General features: G+C 40.7%; 3 protein-coding genes and 1 further gene across 3 annotated transcripts, besides 2 other annotated features; all 4 read right to left on the bottom strand.

The window, feature by feature from the left end:
• Positions 1-25,836, bottom strand: part of PCDHB@ (protocadherin beta cluster) — a 197,972-nt gene that overhangs the window by 15,097 nt on the left and 157,039 nt on the right.
• Positions 6,510-10,926, bottom strand: PCDHB14 (protocadherin beta 14). The gene has a single exon (NM_018934.4). It carries the CDS (start codon positions 10,761-10,763, stop codon positions 8,367-8,369), a length of 2,397 nt encoding a protein of 798 aa, NP_061757.1. The 5' UTR covers positions 10,764-10,926; the 3' UTR covers positions 6,510-8,366.
• PCDHB13 (protocadherin beta 13) lies at positions 15,290-20,350 on the bottom strand. The gene has a single exon (NM_018933.4). The coding sequence runs from the start codon at positions 20,143-20,145 to the stop codon at positions 17,749-17,751; it is 2,397 nt and encodes a 798-aa protein (NP_061756.1). The 5' UTR covers positions 20,146-20,350; the 3' UTR covers positions 15,290-17,748.
• Positions 18,245-18,773: an enhancer, noted in NCBI's record as "H3K4me1 hESC enhancer chr5:140595068-140595596 (GRCh37/hg19 assembly coordinates)". NCBI's record gives its function as "activates a minimal SCP1, AML or CMV promoter by ChIP-STARR-seq in naive H9 embryonic stem cells {active_cell/tissue: H9 hESC(naive)}" and the evidence as "EXISTENCE:reporter gene assay evidence [ECO:0000049][PMID:30033119]".
• On the bottom strand, positions 21,698-25,550 carry PCDHB12 (protocadherin beta 12). The gene has a single exon (NM_018932.4). It carries the CDS (start codon positions 25,359-25,361, stop codon positions 22,974-22,976), a length of 2,388 nt encoding a protein of 795 aa, NP_061755.1. The 5' UTR covers positions 25,362-25,550; the 3' UTR covers positions 21,698-22,973.
• Positions 23,529-24,118: an enhancer, noted in NCBI's record as "H3K27ac-H3K4me1 hESC enhancer chr5:140589723-140590312 (GRCh37/hg19 assembly coordinates)". NCBI's record gives its function as "activates a minimal SCP1, AML or CMV promoter by ChIP-STARR-seq in naive H9 embryonic stem cells {active_cell/tissue: H9 hESC(naive)}" and the evidence as "EXISTENCE:reporter gene assay evidence [ECO:0000049][PMID:30033119]".

Here is a 25,836-nt window from a genome sequence, read left to right as displayed (position 1 = left end):
TTTTAGATAAATTCCAATACGTTTCAGACAAAATATTAATTTTTCTTGTGTGTTTGTCTATAAATTTAAATTATATGCTCCTTCTATATGCCTATTTTCCGAGTTGCATTTTTGTGATATGTGATGCCATTACCTTTCCATCATCAGCCACAATCTGCTATAGCTGTAGTAGATATAAGAAGCATATTTAAGATGTAGCCCCTGCCTCAAACGAGTTATGATCTCTCTGTGAAGACAATATATTAAACAACTAAAGATAGTGAAGAATACTCTTACATGTAATTGACTTAGTAGGCAACAGATTTTTAGTAAAATTGGAAATGAGAATTAGAGGTCTTAGCTCTCTCCACAACTACTCTTCGAAAAGAGGAATGACATCATGTACTTGAAAATGAACCTGGTATATGAAAACAGTTGCTTTGGAAAGGTTGGACATTTTGAGCTGCATAAATGGTACGATTTATTTAGGGATACTCAGTAGGAGACTTAGCTGGCAGGAGTAGAAAATAAATGCTCAGAAGTAGTGAGTAAAATAAAACATTTCTGGTTTTCAATCTAAAAGCAAGTCCAGTTAAACATTTTTTAAAATGTGAACAAATTAGACCTCAGTTTAGTTGTGAAACTGAATTTCATCATTTGCAGACCCAGGCTTTCCAGAGGCACAATTTTAAATATGTTTATATATCTATTAATTAATTAGCTTAGCAGATAGTTATTGAGAATATACTTTGTGCAAGGAATGGTCATAAGTGTTAGGGATAGAATGGTAAACAGACATAGTTCCTGCCATGCAAGAGGGAGACAGAAAAATGACCATGTATTTTAAATAGAGCACAATGAATGTCATGATAAAGGAAGTTCATGCTACTACAAGGGCATAGATGATGGTCATCTAACCAGAATTTGGAAATACAAGACAGATTTTTCTGGAGAAAGTATTCTCTAAGTTGATACATTAAAAATTAATAGGAGTACTTTAAACAAAAATTGGGTATGGGGTAAAATTGTTCAGGAAAACTAAAAACAAGATTGTGCAAATGCAAATAAAGAGAAGTATTTGGAGGAAATAAAATCAATATGGCTAAGACATAGAGCAAGAGGAGAGAAGTGGTAAGAGTTGAAATTGGAAAGATAAGCATATATTTTTTAACTATGTCAAAGTATTTGGACTTTATGCCAGTAGAAATGCAGGGTTATTAAAGGGATTATAATTAAAACAGGAAAGTGGCATGATTATGTTTCTACTTTTTAAAAAGATTATCCTGTTTCAGAGTTGAGAATAAATTAGAGAGGAATAAGATTAAAGGTGAGAGATTGATTACAAATGGTTGCAATAATACAAGTAAGAGGAAACATTGGCCTCAACTAGAAATGCAGTGAAGGGGTTGTATTAGAATGATAAAACAATAGGGGTGTGGTGATCAACATAGAAGGAGTGGGGTAGAAAGGCATGAAGGTAAATGTACTTTGTCTTCAGGCTTAGGGAACTGAGTGACTGTTGGTTCTATTAACTGATAAACACAGGAAGAGCAGAAGAAAGAGGAATAGATATGGAGCTGGTTGGTGAAGGTATATTTAGTTTTGAGGAAGGGAACAGTTTTAATTTTAAACGGATGAGTTTGAGCATCCATATAGACAGTTATATAAATTAGCTTCTATTACATAAATGCAGTTGAGGAAAGACGTTTGGGCTATAGAGTCACATTTGGCATAAATGGTGATTAAAGCTCTTCAGGAAAGATAATAAGTTGCAGATTAAAAGAAGTATATTTGAATTTGTGACTTCAGACTTGATGTAGTTTTCAGAGATTACCATCTCCAGAGAGAGGCCATGGTTATAGGTGACTAAGCTAGAGTAGAAGTGAATGTCATTAGAGATGAAGAAGGCTAGAAACAGAGATAGGTCAAACTCTTGGACCCAGAATTGTTGCAAGGGATGGGCAAAGAGGAAAACTATAAGAAGTCACATTTAAGAGATAAAATGTCTTTATGCTACTTCTTTCTTGTCATCTGGAATAATTTAAAATTAAACTGATATCAAGTTGAGTTCATGCTCTCATTTGATGACTCTTACATGCAAAGACCATTTAGGTAGAAATGTTTGCCAACTTCCTTCAGTACATTAAAGATATCTTACTTTCTATTTTTTTCTATTGCTACTGTTGAGAAACATGGAGCATAGCTGTCAGTCTGTCATGTGCTTCAGGGTTCAATGTCCTTTTCCCATGGCTTTTGAAAAAAAAGATTTCTCTTTTTCTTTGGTTTTCTGAGCTTTCAATATGTTTCTAGATATGGATATCTTTTTAAATTTATCCTGTTAGGTTTATTTAGGTCTCTTAAATCTGCTTGTTGAAGTTTTCATCAATTCTGAAGAATTCAAATTATTATTTCTTTAACTATTGCTTCTGATACAATTTTTCTCTGATCTCCTTGTTCTGGTTAAACATATGTTAAACTTTTTTACTTTGTCCTCTGTTTCTAATATTCTCTTCTGTATTTTTCATCTTATCAACTTTCTGACCTACATATTGGATAAATTATATCCTCATCTATCTTTCTTTTCAGTAATTATTTGTTTAGTTATATCTAATCTTCTATTAAATTTTCTAGTTGGTTTAAAATTTTGATTATTATAGTTTTTCATTTCTAGGAGTTCTATTTTGTTTTCTAATCTGTCAAATTTTATAGTATTTTTCCCTGTACACCTTCAGGTTTAACTTTTATTTCAATTAAAGTGCCTAGCATATTGTAGACTGTGTCTGATAATTACAATATTTGAAATGCTTGCAAGTTTATTTTTATGTTCCTTTTTTCTGCTGGCTCTCACTCATAGTGTCACGTTCTCTTGTGTATGCACTTATCTTTGACTGTTTATGTTAAGAACATAAAAAATTAGTTGTATGAATGATTTGAGGCTTAGAGTGAATAAACGTTCAAACATTCAGAAACTGGGCGACAGAGCGAGACTCCGTCTCAAAAAAAAAAAGCTGTAAGGTCACATTCACATTCACTATAAGAAGTCAGATTTTGACTGGGTGCGGTGGCTCACGCCTGTAATCCCAGCACTTTGGGAGGCTGAGGCAGGCGGATCACCTGAGGTAGGGAGTTCAAGACCAGCCTGACCAACATGGAGAAACCCCATGTCTACTTAAAAAAAAAAAAAAAAAAGCCGGGCGTGGTGGTGCATGCCTGTAATCCCAGCTACTAGGGAGGCTGAGGCAGGAGAATCTCTTAAATCCAGGAGGTGGAGGTTGTAGTGGGCAGAGATCGTGCCATTGCACTCCAGCCTGGGCAACAAGAGCGAAACTCTGTCTCGAAAAAAAAAGAAGTTAGATTTCATAAAACATCTGCATTTGATTCTATCAGTTCCTGGGAGAACTGTCAATGATCACTTTAAATCAAGTTTAAGGCTAAATATCAAGTTCAAGGCTGAAATTCCCCACAAGGGTTCATCCATTTCCAGTTTACTCTCACTCCAAGGGTGTGGCTCTTAGGGATCCATGCTTATTAATAGAGGTTCAAGTTTTCCAGGATTCCCAAGGAAAAAGTAGATTTTGGTCTTGCTTATCTCTCTGGGTTTCCTTTTACCATTAACTTTAACCTGACAATATATTAATATCTTAATAGCTAATTGTTTTCAGTGAAATCATTGTGCTACATAATTTTTACCAACCTTATTAAAAATGTAAAGTCTCAGGGATATTGTTGCAACTCAAAATTACAAGTAAACTCTTAGCTTTCATATTCTATGGGCAACTGATTATTTTGGAAGGCTAAGAAATAATAGTATTTTTAAACAACTTCAACTGTTCAATGCTAAATCAATTCTATAATGACATAATGAATTGAAACAATCTCTTGGAAGAGACAACTGCCATTTAATTGGTATTCATTCTCACTTCTTTCTATACCCCTTATTCCCCTATATGTGCACAAATAGCTTTCCTATATTCTCTCTTCTCTCCCTTCATAAAGTGTATTTATATATTTGCATATTTCTATAAATAAGGAGAAAATTTTCGCAACCTATTCATCTGACAAAGGGCTAATATCCAGAATCTACAATGAACTCAAACAAATTTACAAGAAAAAAACAAACAACCCCATCAAAAAGTGGGCGAAGGACATGAACAGACACTTCTCAAAAGAAGACATTTATGCAGCCAAAAAACAGATGAAAAAATGCTCATCATCACTGGCCATCAGAGAAATGCAAATCAAAACCACTATGAGATACCATCTCACACCAGTTAGAATGGCAATCATTAAAAAGTCAGGAAACAACAGGTGCTGGAGAGGATGTGGAGAAATAGGAACACTTTTACACTGTTGGTGGGACTGTATACTGGTTCAACCATTGTGGAAGTCAGTGTGGCGATTCCTCAGGGTTCTAGAACTAGAATACCATTTGACCCAGCCATCCCATTACTGGGTATATACCCAAATGACTATAAATCATGCTGCTATAAAGACACATGCACACGTATGTTTATTGAGGCATTATTCACAATAGCAAAGACTTGGAACCAACCCAAATGTCCAACAATGATAGACTGGATTAAGAAAATGTGGCACATATACACCATGGAATACTATGCAGCCATAAAAAATGATGAGTTCATGTCCTTTGTAGGGACATGGATGAAATTGGAAATCATCATTCTCAGTAAACTATCGCAAAAACAAAAAACCAAACACCGCATATTCTCACTCATAGGTGGGAATTGAACATTGAGATCACATGGACACAGGAAGGGGAATATCATACTCTGGGGACTGTGGTGGGGTGGGGGGAGGGGGGAGGGATAGCATTGGGAGATATACCTAATGCTAGTTGACGAGTTAGTGGGTGCAGCGCACCAGCATGGCACATGTATACATATGTAACTAACCTGCACAAGGTGCACATGTACCCTAAAACTTAAAGTATAATAAAAAAAAAAGATATTGTGTATATCACCATACTATAAATCTTTGTCTTTTTTCTTTTAAAACATTTGAGATTTATTTATGTGATTGCATGTCTAGCTAACTCCTTTTGATCACTGCATAATAATCCTTCACTAACATGTTACACATTTTATCAATTGCTTTACTGATGGATATGTAAGTGGAGTCCTATTCTTCACTTTCCCAGGATGAATATTCTTATATACATCATTTTGTAAAGCTCTTTAAGAGTTTTCTGGCTTACACACTCCAATAGAATTGCTGAATTATAGAGTACATATATATTAAATTTTACTAAATACTATCAGAAAGCTCTCTAAATAGGCTGTACATGTCATTTCCTATTATTCCACTTGATATTACCCAAATCTCTCATCTTTACTAATTTTAGTGTATGTTTCACCAACTAAAAGGGTTGAACTTCATTTAAAGCTATTTTCAGGCTGTTTTCCCTTTTTTTGAATTTCCATTTCCTTTGTCTTAAAAAATCCTATTGTCTCTCCTGGCTTTGTTGTTGTTGATTTGCAAGAGTTATTTGAATAATGTAAATATTAATCTTGTCAGTTAAAATACTGCAGGTGGCTTCTCACTGTCATCTGTTAGTTTGTCTGTGCTATCCTTTAATTTTGAGGCAGTAATATTCATCAGTTTGTATTTTTCTTTTTTGTGCTTTAAAGCCTTGTTAAGAAATCCAAACCCAAACTAAGATGATATGAATATTTTTACCTAGATTTATTTCATCTCTTCCAATTCAAATATTTCAAATTCACCTATTACATACATATGAAGGTTGTTTTTATATGACATGAGATAGGGATTTTGTTTTTGTATATAGTGAGCCAATCTCCCCAATAACGTTTGCTAAATAATCTCTCTTCTCCACCAACCCCAGTTTTTACGATACCTCCTGTGACCAAGTTGTCTTATATAAGAGGATCTGATCCTGGGTTCTATTCTATCTGGTAGTCTATGAGTCTGTTCCTGAATCATTCAGATAGATTTACTTACTTCATATTTGTAATATGTACTAATATCTATAATGTAAGGCATTCCCTCATTTTTCTTTTTAAAAATTATCCTAGCTCTTCATGCAACTTGTTCTTCTATATTAATATTAGAAACCATTTTTAGATCCTTAACTACTTATGATGGATTTCACTGGAATTGCATTGAATTTATAAATTATTTTGGGAAGCATAGATCTTTATTAAGTTGTTCTATCAAGGAACTAGCATCTGTCTCAATTAACTCAGACATTTAATTATTTCATTTAATGTTTTATTGACATCATTCACTTTTCCACAAAGGTTTTCTGACTTGTTAGCCTAATTTCTAGAAACATTATAGTTTCAATACTATTTTAAATTTTCATTTATAATTGATAATACTGAGGTTAAAAATACACTTTTATTTCTCTTTCCATTTCACTTTTTTCTACCTTATTCTAGTCTTTCTTCTCTCTTTCTTTAGTTTTTAGTTACTTCAGTTTTTACATTAGCAGTGACTTAAGAGCACAGTTTTGCCTCTTATGACTCTGAGGGAAAAAGGGGACCCAAATATTCTTTTCAGGATTTTATTGTTTAAATGTCAATTTTAAGAAATCCACACAACAAATAACTACTTGTTACAACGAAAAATAAAATCAGTGATAATTGCATAAAGTAGAGGGAAGAAATCTAAGGAAACTGGAATTTGTTTCACCTATTTCACAATGGCAAGTGAAATTCCATTTTACTACATCATCTGGTCTATAATAGTATTTAATCTTGTAAGAGCAATTTCAAAATGTATATGTACACCAGCCCTATATCCATACTACATTCCAGTTATCAAAATCTCTATCTATAATCTTCTATAGAACTTTCTTTTAGAGCTGAGATATAATATGTTACATGATGAGGCAACTATAAACCATAAATGCCTACCCATTCCTTCTTTGTAGGCATCTGAGAGAGGCCACAAAGTGTTAATGATGTTTTATATTTACTCAATAATTAATAGGAAAGTGAAACTAAATCATTTCTTTAACAGTTTGAATCTTCATTTCAATTTCTTATGAAGTTCTTGCTTTGTACTCATCTGATGGAAGGCTATTTTACCCAGGATAAGACCCTAAATTATTTTCTGCTTTAGTAATAAACAACACAAAATTTAAGCTAGTAAACACGGTGTATTTAAAGAAAACTAGGCCAGACGTAATGGCTCATGCCTGTAATCCTAGCACGTTGGGAGGCCAAAGCAGGTGGATCACTTGAGTTCAGGAGTTCGAGACTAGCCTGGGCCACATGGCAAAACTCCATCTCTACCACATATACAAAAATTTAGCTAGGCATCGTGGCGGGTGCCTGTAGTTTGAGCTATTTAATAGGCCGAAGCAGGAGGATTGCCTGAGCCCAGGATGTCGAGGCTGCAGTGAGCCAAGATCCTGCCACTACTCTCTAGCCTGGACAACAAAGTGAGACTTTGTCTCAAAAAACAAAAACAAAAAACTAGCTAAGGCGGGCAGATCGCTTGAGCCAAGGAGTTCCAGACCAGACTGGGAAACATGGCAAGATTCCATCTGTACAAAAAAAATACAAAAGAATTAGCCAGGCCGTAGTGGCCTGTGCTGGTGATCCAGCTACTCAGGAGGCTGAGGCAGGAGAATCACCTGAACCCAGGAAGTCAAGGCGGCAGTGAGCCATGATGGTGCCACTGCATTCCAGCCAGGTCAATGGAATGAGACCCTGTCTCAAAAAACATAAATAAATAGAATTAAATTAAGAAAACCAAAGAGTGACAGCAAAGCCCAGAGCATTATAAGACTCTTCCTCCACAACAGGATTATCAACAAAAGCAGTTACAGAAAAAATTACTTAAGAAATTAATAATTTCCAATGTGACCACTTAAGTTTCATCATAAAGTAAATATTTGAAAAACTAATAAGGTTCTCCAGAACTGAAAATGGAGGGATAGCATCTTTGTTACCCTTTCTAAAGAACATTTTCAGAGAGAATAGTGGGATAAACGCACTACATTTTCGACCCAGATTCAGCAACGCTTTTTATTTTTATTTTATGCTTTGATGGTGTCTAGATTTAAGTTACATATATAATGACATTAGCTCTTAATACTTTAGTTTGCATATCCAAATAATTGAGAATATGGTCTTGCATAATACCATTATCACAGCAAAAATAGCAATAACTCCATTAATATAACATTTTGGCCAAATAAATGAAAAACCAGAAAACACAGATTACATTTCCACGTCATTATAGCCACTAATAAAGATTTTTAAAGAAACTGTGAGAAAAACAAGAGCTATAATCATGCATGCAACTACAGTACAACCAAGAATCCACAAAAGATTATGCAAAAAGTACCATCAGCTTGCCAAGAATAACCAAAAATTAGACATTTAAAATAAATTGTTTTATTGAATGTTAAGTCCAAAGCTATTTCGAAAGTTCTCGATTTCCCCCATATTCCTACCAGTGTCATGAACTTGAAAATTGGGGATAATCGGCTTCAGAAATTTGAACTCATTTGTCCCGGAACCTCCTGTCAGACACACCTCGTATTGGTAGCTCTGGGACAGGGTCCCGGTGCCGCTCACGTCCACCAGATGCCCTGGAAAGGGACCCTCGGGCACCGAGCAGCGACCCACCGAGGCCGCCCTGCTCCTCCTGCACAGCCGCACCGCCACGAACAGGAGCACCGAGAAGAGGAAGAGCGACGACACCGAGGCCAATGCCACCACCAGGTAGACGGTGAGGGAGTCGGCCTGGGCCTGGGCCGGGGCCGCCTCAGGGAGCGGCAGGTAGGGCTGGGAGAAGCCGTCCACCAGGAGCACGTGCAGCGTGGCGGTGGCCGAGCGAGGAGGCTCGCCATTGTCCTTGACCAGCACCACCAGCCTGTGCTTGGCCGCGTCGCGCTCGCTCAGCAGCCTGGCGGTGCGCACCTCGCCATTGTGCGCCCACACGCCGAACAGCCCGGGCTCCGTGGCCTTGAGCAGCTGGTACGACAGCCAGGCGTTCTGGCCCGAGTCGCCGTCCACCGCCACCACCTTGGTCACCAGGTAGCCCGGCTCGGCCGCCCGGGGCACCAGCTCGGTGCAGGGCGCGGAGCCGTTCTGCAGCGGGTACAGCACGAAGGGCGAGTTGTCGTTGGCGTCCAGCACCAGCACGCGCACCAGCGCCTCGCTGCTCAACGCCGGGGACCCGCGGTCTGTGGCGCCCACGCGAAACTCGAACTCCTGTAGGGCCTCGTAGTCCAGCGACCTGAGGGCAAACAGGTGGCCATTGTCCGCGTTGATGGAGACCAAGGAGGCGAGGGGCAGGTGCCGGTCCTGGGGCGGCAGCAGCGAGTAGTTGACCTGGGCGTTGGTGCCTGAGTCTCTGTCTGTGGCGCTGACGCTGCCGATGTGCAGGGCGGGGCTGTTGTTCTCGCGGACGAACAGGGTGTAGGAGGTTTGGGTGAAGGTGGGGGCGTTGTCATTGACGTCAGAGAGCAGCACGGTTATGTTGTACTCGGTTTTCAGCCTGGGTGTCCCCAAGTCTGTGACGGTGATCGTGATGTTGTACTCGGCTTGGCTCTCTCTGTCCAGTGCTTTTTCAGAAACTAGAGTGAAAAAGTTCTTGAAGGTCGGTTTCAGGAAAAAAGGGAGGTTATCTTGAATAGAGCAAATCATCCTCCCATTGTCTCCAGAGTCTTGGTCTAGGATACTAAAAAGAGCTACTAGGGTCTCTGAGGCATTCTCTGGAATTCTCTTTGTAATCGACGATATGGTCACTTCTGGTGGGTTGTCGTTTATATCCATAACTTTAACTAGAAGGGTGCATTTTCCTGAAAGACCCCCACCATCTGTTGCCTGAATATTTATAGTGTAGGACTGTATTACTTCAAAATCCAGGGGTGATCTCAAATTAACTTCCCCAGATATTGGATTAATTTCAAATGTTTTACGAATATCTTCTGATGCATGGAAAAATGTGTAAGATATTTTTCCATAGTTTCCTGCATCCAGATCCTTAGCTGAGATGGTGGCAATCCAGGAGCCAAGGGGTCTGTCCTCGGGGACTTGCACCTCATAGAGACTCTGAGGAAACTCAGGGGCATTATCATTGATGTCCAACACCTTGATGAGAACCAAAGTTGTCCCAGACTTGGGCGGGGATCCACCATCCACTGCTGTGAGTGTTAATCTGAGTTCAGCTTCCTGTTCATAATCTAAAGCTCTATCTAGGACCAGCTCTGGGTATATCTTTCTGTCACTACTGTCGGGAATTTTAATGTAGAAGTGAGAATTGGGGCTAATTGTGTAGTTTTGGAGACTGTTGCTTCCGACATCCAAATCTTGAGCACTCTCCATTAGAAAGGTAGCTCCAACAGTGGTACCTTCTGATATTTTAATAAGTATTTCCTTGTCTAGAAATGTAGGGGAGTGATCATTTATGTCTTTGACACACAGCTCAAACCGAAAAAACTGTAAAGGGTTTTCCAAAACCACCTGAAAATGCAGCACACAGGGCTCGGTGGAGCCACACAGCTCGTCTCGGTCTAGTTTCTCATTTAGGAGCAAATTCCCAGTCAGCAAATCAAGGTGCAAATACTTTTTATTATCATCAGACACTACCCGGGCTTCACGTGAAGACAGCTCCTCCACCCCCAGCCCTAGGTCCCTCGCTAGATTAGCCACAAAAGAGCCAATTTCTGTTTCCTCTGCCACAGAATAGTGTGCAGATTCAGTACCTGCCCGAGACAATCCCAGCAAAACAAGGAATATTAGAACTTGCCTTTTTCGCAGATCGAGTGCCCCTCTGATCTCCATGGTTCCTTTAGGCAATCTCTTGTGGAAAAACTGAAGCTCAGCCGTAATTTTGGAAGCTGAAGCTCTGGTTTTTAACAGGAACCCCCTGGAGAGTGTATCCTCCAGCAGCTCTGTAGGCGAAGCTCCTTTAATGCCTGTCTTTTCAGTGGGTTGGATGCTTTCTGTTCTCCTGAATAGCGAAGCTCACCGTGCCAGCCTATGTACTGTTTTCGTCTTATCCTGTAGCGCCACCATGTGTCTCCATGTTTTTTTTTTCATTAAAAAAGTTTTCCTCTTTGAAAAAGTAATTCATAAATACATCCGGAACATTCGAAACAAATCCCAGACATCATTTTTTTTCCTTTAAATACTTCACTAAGTATTTTTAATAGGTAAGGCCTTCTAAAAGATAATTGTAATAAAACGTTCACAATCAACAACTTGAGCAATAATTCCTTGGTGTAATTTATACTGCATTTGGTTTTCCCCAGTTCTCTCCAAAATGTCCTTTGCTGTTGGTTTGTTTGAATTTGAATCCAGAAAAGTCCATACACTGCATTATCACTGTTTTGAATGCTCGGCACTAAAGGATCTGTTAAAATATTCTGAACTGAAGAAATAATTTTTTATTTAAGTCATTTCTCGAGTAATTACAAATATATTATCTCCTTCACTCTTGTAAATACTTGTTGTCAGCTATAGTTGGTAATATCATTACTTTTTTCACTTTTATATTTTAAAAATATAAAGAAGGACATGGCACAAATAAGTTAGAGATAATTCTTGCTCTTACAGAGCTCACAAGCTAGAAAAATTGGCAGACAAGTAAACGAAGTATGTCATAATGTATGCATTTATAAAAAGTAATATAGAAATACCTAGAAAAGACTTCTTGTACCTAGGAGGCTGCATACCTTAGTGCTTGGGAATATGGGATCTGGAACCAAATTATCAATATTAGAATCCTGGTTATGTGACTTACTATCTATAAGCTTGGGCAAGTTATAGATACCTTTGTTTCCTCACCTGTAAAATGGGGTAATAATATTTGTCTCCTATGATTATTATCGTAGGCATCTAATGAATTAATATTTACAAAGTGGTTTGTAAGTGCTGGTTAAGTGTCTGTCAAAAATAAAATAATTAAGATCAAAGTCGGACTTGGGACATCAGTGAAAGCTTTCCTGAGGTAATGAAAAATACATTGTGATCTGAAGGAACTAGCCAGGAGAAGGAGGAATATTTCAGATGGGCATTTTGAGGAACACAGAGAAATGAAGTATGCCTTGGACTTTAAAAACTATGGAAGGGGAGGGTCTAACAATGAAATTAGGGTTAAAAGCATGGTGAGAACATGAATCATTATACAGGTCATATCATGCATTCTTGAATTTATCCTAAAGGTAATTCAAGTACAAAGATGGGTTTTAAATATCTGATTAACATGATTACATCTGCATTTTAAAAAATCAGTTTGGCTGCAGTATGGAGAATTAATTTCAGGGGGAGTGACTGGAGAATCAAGGAGATCAGATAAGAGATGATGATCTGGATGAGGATAATGCCAGTGTGGATGGAGAGAAGAGGGATGAATAGAAAGGTATGAGGAGATGAAATGTTTTCAACTGTTGGTTGATAGGTTGCATGGGGAGAAAAATGGGAAAGACTCAGAGATGATATCACACCTCTGGACTGGGCATCTGGATGACTAGTGGTGTCATTCACTAGGACAGGGAATGCTAAAAAAAAACATGATTGGGGTGGAAAAAGATGAAGTGTTCAGTTTTGAACATGCTGATATTGAGGTAAGTGCCTGTAGGATGTGTGTTTGCGTGGTGGTGGGGTGTGTGTGTGTGTGTTTGCATATAACCAAAGCATAGGAAATAAATCTGAGCTGGCAATATGAACTGTGGTGTGTATATATGTATATATATAGAGAGAGACAGAGAGAGACAGAGAGAGAGAGCATATATATAGCATATATATAGAGAGAGAGCATATATATAGCATATATACAGAGAGCATATATATAGCATATATATATATATAGCATTCATGGTTTCAATCACCATATATATATATATATATATATATATACACACCATGAATGCTCTAGGATAACCAAGCAAAAGTGTGTCAAATAAGTATAAAAGAGGCTTGGCACAGAACTCTGAGAAACATCTTCATTTAGAGGAGACAGGGCAAGAAGTATATTTGAAAAGATAAAGAAGGCTCAGAGTTCAAAATCATGAAATCAAAAGCAAATAGCATTTTAAGGAGATAAGGAAGATCAATGGCTGCAAATGCTTCAGAAAAATCAAGAAAAATAAGTATGACAATTATCCAGTGGGCTTAAAAAGATGGTCATTGTGGAGGATTCTGATAGATGTCTGACAAAATCTGTTTTCCTTTGCTTCTATAGTAATAGAACTGTGCCCAGGTATGTGGCCATGAAGGTAGATTGCCCATCCCAGCCTCCCTTGTATTTGAGTGTGGCCAAGTGAATTAAGTTCTCACAGATGGATTGTGAGCAGAATTTCTGTCTTCCCCTTCCAGTTATAGAACAGAAATCATCTGGATATGCCTCTTTCTTCCAAGCGAGCTAGAACCCAGATGTGACAGTGACCCAGCTACAGCCATGCAGATTATATTGCCATAGGGAATGTTGAAGAAATTACTTGAAAGAAAATTTGGTTTCAGAAGGACTGTGAGGATGAAAGCTGCCCTACCTACCTAATAATTTTTACATTGGTACTGTCATGTGAAAAAGAGAGACATGTTTACAAGCCACTGTGTCATTGCATCACATTGGTTCCACAGTATAATCTTAACTTATATGGAAATCTTTGATAACATTTGCAATAGCAGTTTCAGTAGAATGGTTGTGATGAAAATTAGATTGTACTTCGGTGCAAAGTGAGGCGGATGAGGAAGCAAAAATGAGGTAAACCGCTCTTTCAACAATTTTTTTTTTGAGACAGGGTCTCAGTCTGTCACCCAGGCTCACTGGCTCACTGCATCCAGGCTCTCAAGAAATTTGTAAAGAATGAAAAGGCTGTAAAAGGAATAAGAAATACATTGGTATCTGGAGAAGAATTCAGACTCAGAGAGTATTTTAAAGACTAGAGAAACTTGAATATATTTAAAATGCCAATGTGTAATGTTCAGTAGGGAAGGAGAAAATTAAGATACAGAAGGGATAATGCAAGTCCCCTAGAAAGGTTGTTAAAGATGGGATCCAGGCAATGTATGAAGTGTTTGGATTTAGACCAGTGGGACGGACCTCAGCAGGTGAAAAGTATAGATACAGATGCTGTTAAAGCTGTGGAGTAGGGGACAGGAAAATGAATTTCTAGCTGATGGATTCTATTTTCTCAATAAGGTATCAGGCAAGTTCATCGGATAAAAGGGGGTATCTAAGTGGTAGGGTAAGAAGTTTAAAGTAAGATACGTAGGTTTAAAATAGTTGTTGTGGAGCGTAGAAGAGAAAGCTCGTTAGAAAAATTATAAAAGGAGTTCTTGGTCTCAGAAGCCCAATTAGGTTTGAATATTATACATTTATAGTGGCAGTGGTATTGCTAATTTTGTAAGTTTGGTCTTATAGAGTGCAGCACCCCATGTGTAAGAGAGGAGGAGGACTATATTCATCTGGGCTGGAGTTTCATCAGGTGGTTTTAGTGAAGGAAAATTGAACAAGGGAATTGAGAATATGGGCATGAGAGCAACTGGGAGTGGTAAACCAGGAAATCAGCTGAATAGGAAGGAAATTAAAACAGGAGCGTTTGATAGGTAGTAACAGCACCATGGAATGGAGCTCTGATAAGGTCAAAGACAAGATGTGATAGAAACAGCAGAATGAGAAGGTTATAGGCATAGACAATTGTGCACTCAGAGGGAGATAGCTGAAATTATTATATCATAGAACAGTTTCTTGGTGGGGAAAAAGTACAATATGTAGCCAGGGCATTAATGACTGAAAAACAGGAGTAGAGGTAAAGACTTAGGGACTGAGAGGCCATGTTGTTAGATTAATCAGTGGACCCAGGAGTGGTGGTAGAACTTGAAACAGAAAGATAAAGAGAACAATGTGTTTGTAAGATAAAATGTCCTATGTCCCTTTTCCCTCCCATACTATTGCCTAAATAAAAAAAAAATACTGTTATTTGGTTTTTATTGTAAGCGTTTTCAGGAGAATCCATTCTGTAAGGCTGGGCCATCTCTTGTGTCTCTATTTTCTAAGTGTCCTTTAACCCCCGCTAGATAAAAAATTATATTCTAAGTTACTTACAACCTATAGTTCTTTCATATAAAATTGGCTGATACAGCTTGATTCCTATGCACTGTTTTAAGTATAACTATAAATGAGGTCTTTGAAGCATATAAGCAAAATTCGTTTTTAGCAATGCATTCTAGGAGAATTGGTTGGTTATATGTATCTGGGCATTTGAGCTCCTGAATGCCTGGTCACTCTTCATTAGAGCCAGGAAACTCATAGTTCTTTTTATAAAGAGAGGAGTCCTGCTGCTCATATATCTAGAAAAACTGGAAGTAACAGGACAAGTACTTGGCCCTTCTCTCCACTGTTGCACCAGCGAGATTTTCTGTCTGAGTTGTTTGAACTACTCTTTCCCACTCCACCAGTAGATATGAGAAGATCACAGGGAAGCTGCTAGAATAACTCCCACCTTTGGAGGCCAGAAGTTCAACAGCCTGGGCGACATGATGAGAACCCATCTCTACAAAAATTTTTTTTAAAATAGCTGGGGGTGCTACTCGGGAGACTGAGGCAGGAGAATGGCGGGAACCCAGGAGGCGGAGCTTGCAGTGAGCCGAGATCGCGCCACTGCACTCCAGCCTGGGTGACAGAGTGAGACTCTGCCTCAAAAACAAAACAAAACAAAAAACAAACAAACAAACAAAAATAGCTGTGGGGGGTGGCATGTGCCTGTGGTCCCGGCTACTTGGGATGCTGCGTCAGGAGGATTGCTTGAGCCCAGGAGGTCAAGGCTTCAGTGAGCTATGATTGCACCACTGCACTCCAGCCTAGGTGACTAAGACCCTGTCTCTAAAACATAAACAAAGAAAGAAAAAAGAAAAGAATAATTACTCAGTTGACAAAGCTCAACAGAACCAGTAGTGAAATCTGAGTCAGAAGTATAAACATTAGGTTGTCTTAGATATGCTATTAAAAGAGATTGCACTTCTTGGCATTATCAACTGACTAATACCCAGTCCCTCTACAATGTTAAGATAAAGTTTTAAAATATCTTCAAGAAGTAGTTGAGGCCAGGTGCTCATACCTGTAATCATAGCACTTTGGGAGGCTGAGGCAGGCAGACTGCTTGAGCTCAGGAATTCGAGACCAGTCTGGGCAATATGATGAAACCTCGTCTCTACTAAATATGCAAAAATTAGTGGGTGTGGTGGCCTGGGCCTGTAGTCCTGGGTACTAGGGAGGCTGAGGTGGGAGGATCACTTGAGCCCAGGAGGTGGAGGTTGCAGTGAGTGGAGATCACAGTGAGTGGAGATCACACCACTGCACTCCAGCCTGGGTGACAGAACAGGACCTTGTCTCAAAAAATAACATAAGAGAAGCAACTGAGTCTAGTCTGTGGCACTGGAAGTAGTCATTTTGCTCATCCCCATGAATTTCCTCTTTTCCATGCTTTCTCTCTCTCTCTCATACACATGCTTGTTTTGCCTCTATACTTTTACTCATTTTGTTATTCTACATTTTTCTCCCACAACATAGACTGTAGACTTTGATAAAAGTCATGGAAAATCTCCTCCTCCAACCTTGAAGTCTTTTTCTTACATAGTGTGTCAGATCCTTAAAGGTAAGAGTGATTTAACATGAGACAAAGCTACTCCCCTACAATGCTTTGAAAATTTTTTTAAAATTAGAACCCTAAGGGACTATCTTTTGATACTATCAATGTTCAACATCTGGTATGCTTTTATATGTCTGAGAAAAGTGGTTTTCAAACTTTGGGTTACTACCCACTAGTATACCATGAAATAAATTTAGTGGATCATGACCACATTTGAAAATTGAATAGAATGAAATATATAGGTAATTTCAAATTATGTCATAAAAAGACTAAGCATTGTTCACAAGCATTTATTTCTATTAAGCTTGTGTGTTTCAAAATATGTAAAATATAATCTTAACTATTGGTTGCAGTAAAAAAAGTTTGAAAAATAGTTTCTGGTGTATATACATTAAATTATATGATAGTACAGGCAAAAATTTTTACACATTAACACACAACTCCAATTTATGCTATATGAATTATTATTTGGGCACAGGCATCTGCATTCAACTAGATTGCACTAGAGCTTTGTGACATTAATTAAAAAATTATAGCTTCATATTCCCAGATTCTGTGATTGGTCACAATATTAATGTGCCTGCACAATCCTCTCCAGGATGAATGAGGAAAGGATACTAAAAAACTGGTCTTCTGACCCTTTCGAATCAAGTGATAACACTTAGAGTTGTATCATAGGATATAGGTTTTCTGGTTTATTTTTGAAAGCAAAAAGCATATTTAAAGGTTAACTAAAAACGCACTGGATTTACAAAAAAGAAAAATGATATGTCTGAATAGGAGTCATTATTTTAAGACTAAAAAAAGAGAATCAAATGAAGAAATGCTGGAAAATTGGAATCACTTCCAAATTGCTCTATTTAATTTTACCATAAGCATAATAGTGGGTGAAGTTCAGCTAAAGATAGGGGCATGAAAAAAATGTGATTTGGTATTGCTCTTTAGGGAGGCAAATTAATTACAAATTAAGACCATCTGGGTTAAAGAATGAATTGTCACCTTTTAAGAACCAGGAATAAAGGTAAATGTTCACTTTAAAACAAAGGGAGAAAGAACATGAGAAAAATCAAGAGTAAATCCGTACAATATTACATACACACAAATTGGGGGAAATAAACATTGGCATGGAAATGCCACAAAATAAAATACCTATGGAATGTAAAAGTCAACTATGGTCACTGAATATTGAACCCAAAGTTATTGGGGAAGGTAGAATTTCCTTGTATTTCTTTCCCAGGGCACTGGGGAGGGAAGTTGGGGATAATCGGCTTCAGGAACTTGAACTCATTGGTCCCTGAGCCTCCTGCCAGACACACCTCATACTGGTAGCTCTGGGATAGGGTCCTGGTGCCGCTCATGTCCACAAGATGCCCTGGAAGGGGGCCCTCGGGCACCAAGCAGCGACCCACCGAGGCCGCCCTGCTCCTCCTACACAGCCGCACCGCCACGAACAGGAGCACCGAAAAGAGGAAGAGCGAAGACACCGAGGCCAACGCCACCACCAGGTAGACGGTGAGCAAGTCGGCCTGGGCCTGGGTCGGGGCCGCCTCCGGGAGAGGCAGGTAGGGCTGGGAGAAGCCGTCCACCAGGAGCACGTGCAGCGTGGCGGTGGCCGAGCGCGGAGGCTCGCCATTGTCCTTGACCAGCACCACCAGCCTGTGCTTGGCCGCGTCGCGCTCGCTCAGCAGCCTGGCGGTGCGCACCTCGCCATTGTGCGCCCACACGCCGAACAGACCGAGCTCCGTGGCCTTGAGCAGCTGGTACGACAGCCAGGCGTTCTGGCCCGAGTCGCCGTCCACCGCCACCACCTTGGTCACCAGGTAGCCCGGCTCGGCCGCCCGGGGCACCAGCTCGGTGCAGGGCGCGGAGCCGTTCTGCAGCGGGTACAGCACGAAGGGCGAGTTGTCGTTGGCGTCCAGCACCACCACGCGCACCAGCGCCTCGCTGCTCAGCGCCGGGGAGCCGTGGTCTGAAGCGCCCACGCGGAACTGGAACCCCTGCAGGGCCTCGTAGTCCAGAGACCTGAGGGCGAACAGGTGGCCGTTGTCCGCGTTGATGGAGACCAGGGATGTGAGGGGCAGGTGCGGGTCCTGGGGCGGCAGCAGCGAGTAGGTGACCTGGGCGTTGGTGCCTGAGTCTCTGTCTGTAGCGCTGACGCTGCGGATGTGCAGGGCGGGGCTGTTGTTCTCGCGGACGAACAGGGTGTAGGAGGTTTGGGTGAAGGCGGGAGCGTTGTCATTGACATCGGCGATCAGCACGGTCATATTGAGCTGTGTTATCAGCATAGGGGTCCCCAAGTCAGTGACAGTGATAGTGATGTTGTATTCCGCTCTGCTTTCTCTGTCTAGTGGTCTCTCCGTTAGTAGGGTGTAAAAGTTTTCCGCGGATTTCAGGAGGAAGGGTAGATCCTCCTGAATGGAGCAACTAATTTTCCCATTTTCTCCTGAATCAAGATCTGAAACACTGAAAAGTGCAACCACAGTTTCAGGCGCGTTCTCAGGTATTGGGCTGGTAAATGCAGACATGGTAACTTCTGGGGCATGGTCGTTCACATCTATCACTTGAATCAGAACGGTGCATTTTCCAGAAAAGGTTCCAGCATCTCTTGCCTCAATATTGACTTCATAGGACTGAAGTTTTTCGAAATCGAGTTGTTTTTTTAGTTCAATTTCTCCTGTCAAGGGATTGATCTTAAAGGTTTTGCCAATCTCTTCTGAAGCTTGGAAAAGTGAATAGGAAATCTCTCCGTTGACTCCTGTGTCTACATCCGTGGCAGAGACCTTCACAACCAGGAAGCCTACCGGACTGTCCTCAGAGATCTGCACTCTATAGAAAGGCTGCTCAAATTCAGGGGCATTATCGTTGACATCCAGGACTTCGATGTAGACCTGAGCAGTGCCAGATCTGGGCGGAGAGCCACCATCCAGTGCTGTGAGTGTTAACCTGAGCTCAGCTTCTTCCTCTCGGTCCAGCGCTTTGTCCAGCACCAGCTCTGGGTATTTCCTGCCATCACTGCGTTTGCGGGTGAGGACCCGAAAATAGGAGTTGGGGCTGATTATATAGTTCTCAATATTGTTTTGGCCTACATCTAAGTCTTCGGCATTCTTCAGAGGAAACGTAGTCCCAGGAGGACTGCTCTCTGATACTTTCACCAACATTTGTTTGTCCAGAAATACTGGAGAGTGGTCGTTTATGTCTATTACTTGCAGCTCAGCTTGAAAAAACTCGAAGGGACTCTCTAGCAACACTTGGAAACGTAGCACACAGGGCTCTGTGTGACCGCACAGATCCTCACGGTCCAATTTCTCATTTAGCAACAAATCCGCGGTCTCCTGATTGAGCTGCAAATGTAGTTTGTTCCCTCTGGAAACAACCCTAACCCCCCGCCTGGAGAATTCCCTCTGCTCCAGACCCAGGTCCTTTGCTAAATTGGTGACAAAGGAGCTGCCCTCAGTTTCCTCCACCACAGAATAGCTTCTAGGTTCCGCCGCGCCCGCCAGAGATAAGCCCAAAAGGAGAAAGGAAAAAAGGACTTGCCTTTGTCTGCAAATGAGCTTCCCGCTGGCCTCCATTGTTCTTGCTGGATTCAGCTTCCTGGGAGGACGGTTCTGTGGGACTGTAAAGTCCCCAGTATCTGAGGCTGTGGTTATTCTACAGATACCTCAGAAATATGCCAGTGAGTAGTCCTCTCCAGAGGACCCAGCCGTCCTCCCTTTGGCATCCAAGCTCCCCGTGGACTTCCAGGTTCTGCTGCTTTTTGCCGGTTAATGGAGCTGCAGCTGCGGTTCTGGTTTGTGCCTTCTTATCCTGCAGCGCCACCACGCGTCCTCACAGGATCTTACATTTTGTGGAATGATAATGGATGTAATATTCCCAACTCTGCCTGTATGCACCCCGAGACTATGTAAGGTTACAACACCACCGTTAATATCGCCGGACTTTAGTGAGCAGACAACTGCCCAAAGGAGAAATCACATTAGTCTTTCAACAATGATAACTGAGTTTTGGGCAGAAAGGAAATATTTAGGTAATAGTCTAGCTTGGCAAAAAGAATTTCAAATATAATTGTAGTTATCATGGACAACATTTAGATCTTTATAGTTTTATTTCCATGAACCATAGGAATAATTAGTAGCTGTGAACCTCGAACAAATTATTTAATCTCTCTGCTTTAGTTTGCTCCTCTGTAAAGTGAGGATAAGAACAGTACCTACCACATAGGGCTGTTGTGAATTCCCCACCTTAAACATGAGGAATCTAATGCAAATAGATATTAACCTTAAAAATAAGGTATATACCAAGTATAAAGCAATTTGATGCCATCAAGTAACTGAGTCTTGATGGCATAAATCCATCATAAGTCTAGCATAAATCCATTACTATAACTAGATAAACACCTCGAAATTCAAATGGTAGAAGAATACAGGAGCATGACTATCTCAGGTAGAGAGGTTATGTCCAATAATGAAAGGAAATGAACAAGGAAAGGCTGGAGAGTTTGTCTAAATAGAGACAATATCTGTAACAGCAGTGGTGATTTTGTTTCTGGGAAGGATGTCCTTTTTTATTACCTCCACTTCTAACAGCATCAATTAAAAGACATTATTTTGAAATTTTTCAAATCTCATAAAAGAGAGGAGTATAATGATCCTCCAAGGACTCAGTACTAGCTTCAACTATTATCAATGTTTTGCCATAATTCTTGACTCTATCCCTTCAACATTTTCACATCCCAGACAAACTGAATTTTCTCCCACAAATACGTCATTATACATTTCTTTAAAAGCATCATGACTTTAAATGACTCTAAAAATATGCTTAAGTACAATGCCATTATCATACCTAAAAATCAAGTTAACATTATTTAATACCCATCTATATTCAAATTCTTCCAAGTTTTTCAAAGTCATTGCTGTTGTTTCAATCAAGATCCAAAAAAGATCCACACATTGTATTTGAGTGGTAGACCTCTTAAGATTTTTCCTTGTGTAAACTTCACTCCTCTTATTTTTTGAGCCATTTATTTGTCAGAGAAATTGGATAATTTTACCCTGAGACCATGAAAGCAATTTTAGATTTTACTACTGTGAGTTTTTGTCCTTAGATTCTATCCCACCAGTGATATGCAGTAATACTAGCTTTATTAGAGTTACTGGCACTAGTTTATAATATATTTAGAACACAACTATGCAAAAATTACCTATTTTAAATATAAGAATCGGTTATATATTTTTAACAAACAATGCTTCTCCTTAACTCCCCAAAATTTCTAAAAATTTAATGATCATCTATATTTCTCTTTGATATTACACATTTAAATCTATTCTTTTTCTTAAATTTTCCTGATTCAGCAGTGCAGTATAGGTAAGAAAAACTGCTAAAAACAAACTCTCAAATCAGGAAAATATATTACAAATGTAAGCATGGGTGACTCTGGAAATATACTACAATGTAAAGAAAATAATTAACTAATAATGCCATCAAAATTATGTACTATTCCTAATCAGGACCATTAATCTTTTCTGTGAAATGATAGTTATATGTTCAGGAGACAATGAGAAGGCATAGGTTGCTCTTTCAATTTTGTTTTTTACTTAAGATTTGGGCAGATCAGAGCATTAGTAATAATAGCTGAAAATTTACCCAGAAAAGCAAGATTACTGGTTTATAAGAAAATGAAATCATAGATAAAGTTTATTTCTAAATAAAGATTGAACAGTAGTATGAATACGATAAAAACTTTTCTTCTCTTTAGTTAGGCAGAAACTTGCCAGGTGATATCCAATGACAAAAACAGTATGGAATGGGAGCAAAGTCACTGACTTAGAGTCAGGCAGATCTAGGATGGATGCTCAGTTTTGTCACTTATTAGTTAGTGGACCTTAGTGAACTTACTGAATCTCTAAGACCGTCTATTTGGTCATTACTAAAATACCATGTCACATATGTTTCTTCTGAGATTAAAAGTGTGAAAATAGTGTATGATTCATAAAACAACTTTTTTTAAAAAAATAAAGTTTAAAAAGGTACACTACAATCTATGCTTCTGAAACTAGGGTAGGTATACTCGAACAGCATTCTAATCAACTCAGAAAACAAAAGTCACAGTAAATATTGAAAACAATGGAAAGCAATTTAAAATATCTCAAACAAGACTTACCACTTAATAGACTTTATATTAAGCATAATTGTTTGACATAAACCATTACACATGCACATTTCCTGCTTTGTGAAGTGTTCTTGGTACTAAATCTGTATCCTTTTCTATGTAAAGAAATTTATTTCTTGACTTGAAGAGTATGTATTTGAAGTGATCAAAAATACTACTTTACAGGCACCTCACGATAAGTTCCTAATTATAAATGTATTCATAAACACAGGTTTTATTTTTCATTCTTTATCAGAAACCCAAATTATTCTGAAATGGGGGATTTTCTTCGACTTCACTACCTGTGCTCTGGGGTAGGAAGTTGGGGATAATTGGTTTCAGAAATTTGAACTTATTTGACCTGGAGCCTCCAGTCACACACACCTCATAGTGGTAGCTCTGGGACAGGGTCCCGGTGCCACTCACGTCCACCAGATGTCCTGGAAAGGGGCCCTCAGGCACCGAGCAGCGACCGACCGGGGCCGCCCTGCTCCTCCTGCACAGCCGCACCGCCACGAACAGGAGCACCGAGAAGAGGAAGAGCGACGACACTGAGGCCAACGCCACCACCAGGTAGACAGTGAGCGAGTCGGCCTGGGCCTGGGCCGGGGCCGCCTCCGGGAGAGGCAGGTAGGGCTGGGAGAAGCCGTCCACCAGGAGCACGTGCAGCGTGGCGGTGGCCGAGCGCGGAGGCTCGCCATTGTCCTTGACCAGCACCACCAGCCTGTGCTTGGCCGCGTCGCGCTCGCTCAGCAGCCTGGCGGTGCGCACCTCGCCATTGTGCGCCCACACGCCGAATAGCCCGGGCTCCGTGGCCTTGAGCAGCTGGTACGACAGCCAGGCGTTCTGGCCCGAGTCACCGTCCACCGCCACCACCTTGGTCACCAGGTAGCCCGGCTCGGCCGCCCAGGGCACCAGCTCGGTGCAGGGCGCGGAGCCGTTCTGCAGCGGGTACAGCACGAAGGGCGAGTTGTCGTTGGCGTCCAGCACCAGCACGCGCACCAGCGCCTCGCTGCTCAAAGCCGGGGAGCCGTGGTCTGTGGCGCCCACGCGGAACTGGAACCCCTGCAGGGCCTCGTAGTCCAGCGACCTGAGGGCAAACAGGTGGCCGTTGTCCGCGTTGATGGAGACCAGGGAGGCGAGGGGCAGGTGCGGGTCCTGGGACGGCAGCAGCGAGTAGTTGACCTGGGCGTTGGTGCCCGAGTCTCTGTCTGTGGCGCTGATGCTGCCGATGTGCAGGGCGGGGCTGTTGTTCTCGCGGACGAACAGGGCGTAGGAAGTTTGGGTGAAGGCGGGGGCGTTGTCATTGACGTCGGAGACCAGCACGGTTATGTTGTGCTCGGTTTTTAGCCTGGGGGTCCCCAAGTCGGTGACGGTGATGGTGATGTTGTACTCGGCTCTGCTCTCTCTGTCCAGCGGTCTCTCTGTTTCCAAAGTGTAGTAATTATTTACCGAAGATTTTAGCACGAATGGGATGTCCTCCGGGATAGAACAAACCATCTTTCCGTTGTCCCCAGAGTCTCTGTCTCGTATCCTGAAAACCATAACCACAGTCTCTGGAGTGTTTTCTGGGATTGGACTGGTAATTGATGACACAGTGATTTCAGGAGCGTTGTCGTTTACATCCATCACCTGAATTCTGACTGTAGATTTTCCAAAAAGTCCTCCCCCATCTGTGGCTTGAATGATTATTGAGTATGACTCAATTGCTTCAAAATCCAAAGGTGCTGTTAAAGTAATGTCACCAGACTTTTGATTAATTTCAAATGTCTTGCGAATATCTTCTGAGGCATGGGAAAAGGTATAGGATAGTTCACTGTTTGTTCCAGAGTCTAAATCCCAGGCTGAGACGGTCACAACCAGGGAGCCAAGGATGCTATTCTCCAGAATCTTCACCTCATAAAAAGCCTGCTCAAACTCAGGGGAGTTGTCATTAATATCTACAACCACCACCCTGACCAAGGCAGTTCCAGACCTGGGAGGGGACCCGCCATCCAGAGCAGTGAGGATGAAACTGAGCTCCGGGCGCTCTTCATAATCCAGCGCCTTGTCCAGAACTAACTCAGGGTATTTCCTATTGTCTGGATTGACTCTTATTTTAACGTGGAAATGAGAGTTCGGATTTATTGTGTAGCTTTTTACAGCATTGATTCCTACATCTAAATCCTTTGCACTTTCAAGCAAGAACACAGCACCAACAGGACTGTTCTCTGGGATTTCTAAGAGCATTTCTTTTTCCAAGAAGACGGGAGAGTGATCATTTATATCCCTGACCTGGAGCTCAATTTGTAAAAACTGCGTGGGGTTTTTCATTAACACTTGGAAATACAGCACACAAGGCTCATTGGAGCCACAGAGCTCCTCCCTGTCTAGCATTTCTCTCAGGAGCAAATCCCCAGTGTTTGTGTCCAGCTGCAAACACTCTTTGTTATCATTAGAAACCACCCGAGCCCCCCGCGAAGACAGCTCACTCACCTCGAGTCCCAGGGTCTTTGCCAAATTTCCTACAAAGCTCCCGCTCTGCAATTCCTCCATCACCAAAAAGTTCCCAGTTTCAGAGCCCGCCTGAGACATTCCCAGCAAAACAAAGAAAAGCAGGACTTGCCTTATCTGCAGAGTGCCTGCCCCTCCGTTTTCCATAGCTTCTTTTCCAAAACCCCAAAATCTTCTTGCAGAATTGCCTCAGCGCCTCTTCGCAGTTGTGGGAAACGTGCCTCTGATCTGTCTACCAAATCCTCGGAAGCCTGAAGATTTTAACCTTGTTGAATGGCTTCTAGGTTCTCCCTTAAAGGATTGTTCTTTCTGTCTTCCCAGTTCTCCGCGTGTACTGGATAACAGGGTCTACAACATCCTCCAGGGTAATTTTTTTCTTGATATTATCCTGCAGCGCCACCACGCGTCTCCACAGATTTTCACAGTTTGATGAACACTACCTAAATTTTATTTACATAAATGTCCTCCAGAAGCAAATAAATATTGCGTTTAAATAATTCCTTCTGTTGAAGTAATTAAAAATATATTTTATCTTCCATAATAATCGTTTTATATTCTTTATAGTTTGTGATGATGATTTTGTTTTAAAGCATTTATTCAGTGTCTTTCCCCACTCTTCTCA

Source organism: Homo sapiens, chromosome 5 (assembly GCF_000001405.40).
Source record: "Homo sapiens chromosome 5, GRCh38.p14 Primary Assembly".
NCBI lineage: Eukaryota > Metazoa > Chordata > Mammalia > Primates > Hominidae > Homo > Homo sapiens.
This window is presented reverse-complemented; position numbering and strand designations above follow the sequence as displayed.

What these genes read in the sequence shown, in the direction of transcription:
- PCDHB14 (NM_018934.4), bottom strand. Translation starts at nt 10,763, where the DNA reads ATGGAGATCAGAGGGGCACTCGATCTGCGAAAAAGGCAAGTTCTAATA.
- PCDHB13 (NM_018933.4), bottom strand. Translation starts at nt 20,145, where the DNA reads ATGGAGGCCAGCGGGAAGCTCATTTGCAGACAAAGGCAAGTCCTTTTT.
- PCDHB12 (NM_018932.4), bottom strand. Translation starts at nt 25,361, where the DNA reads ATGGAAAACGGAGGGGCAGGCACTCTGCAGATAAGGCAAGTCCTGCTT.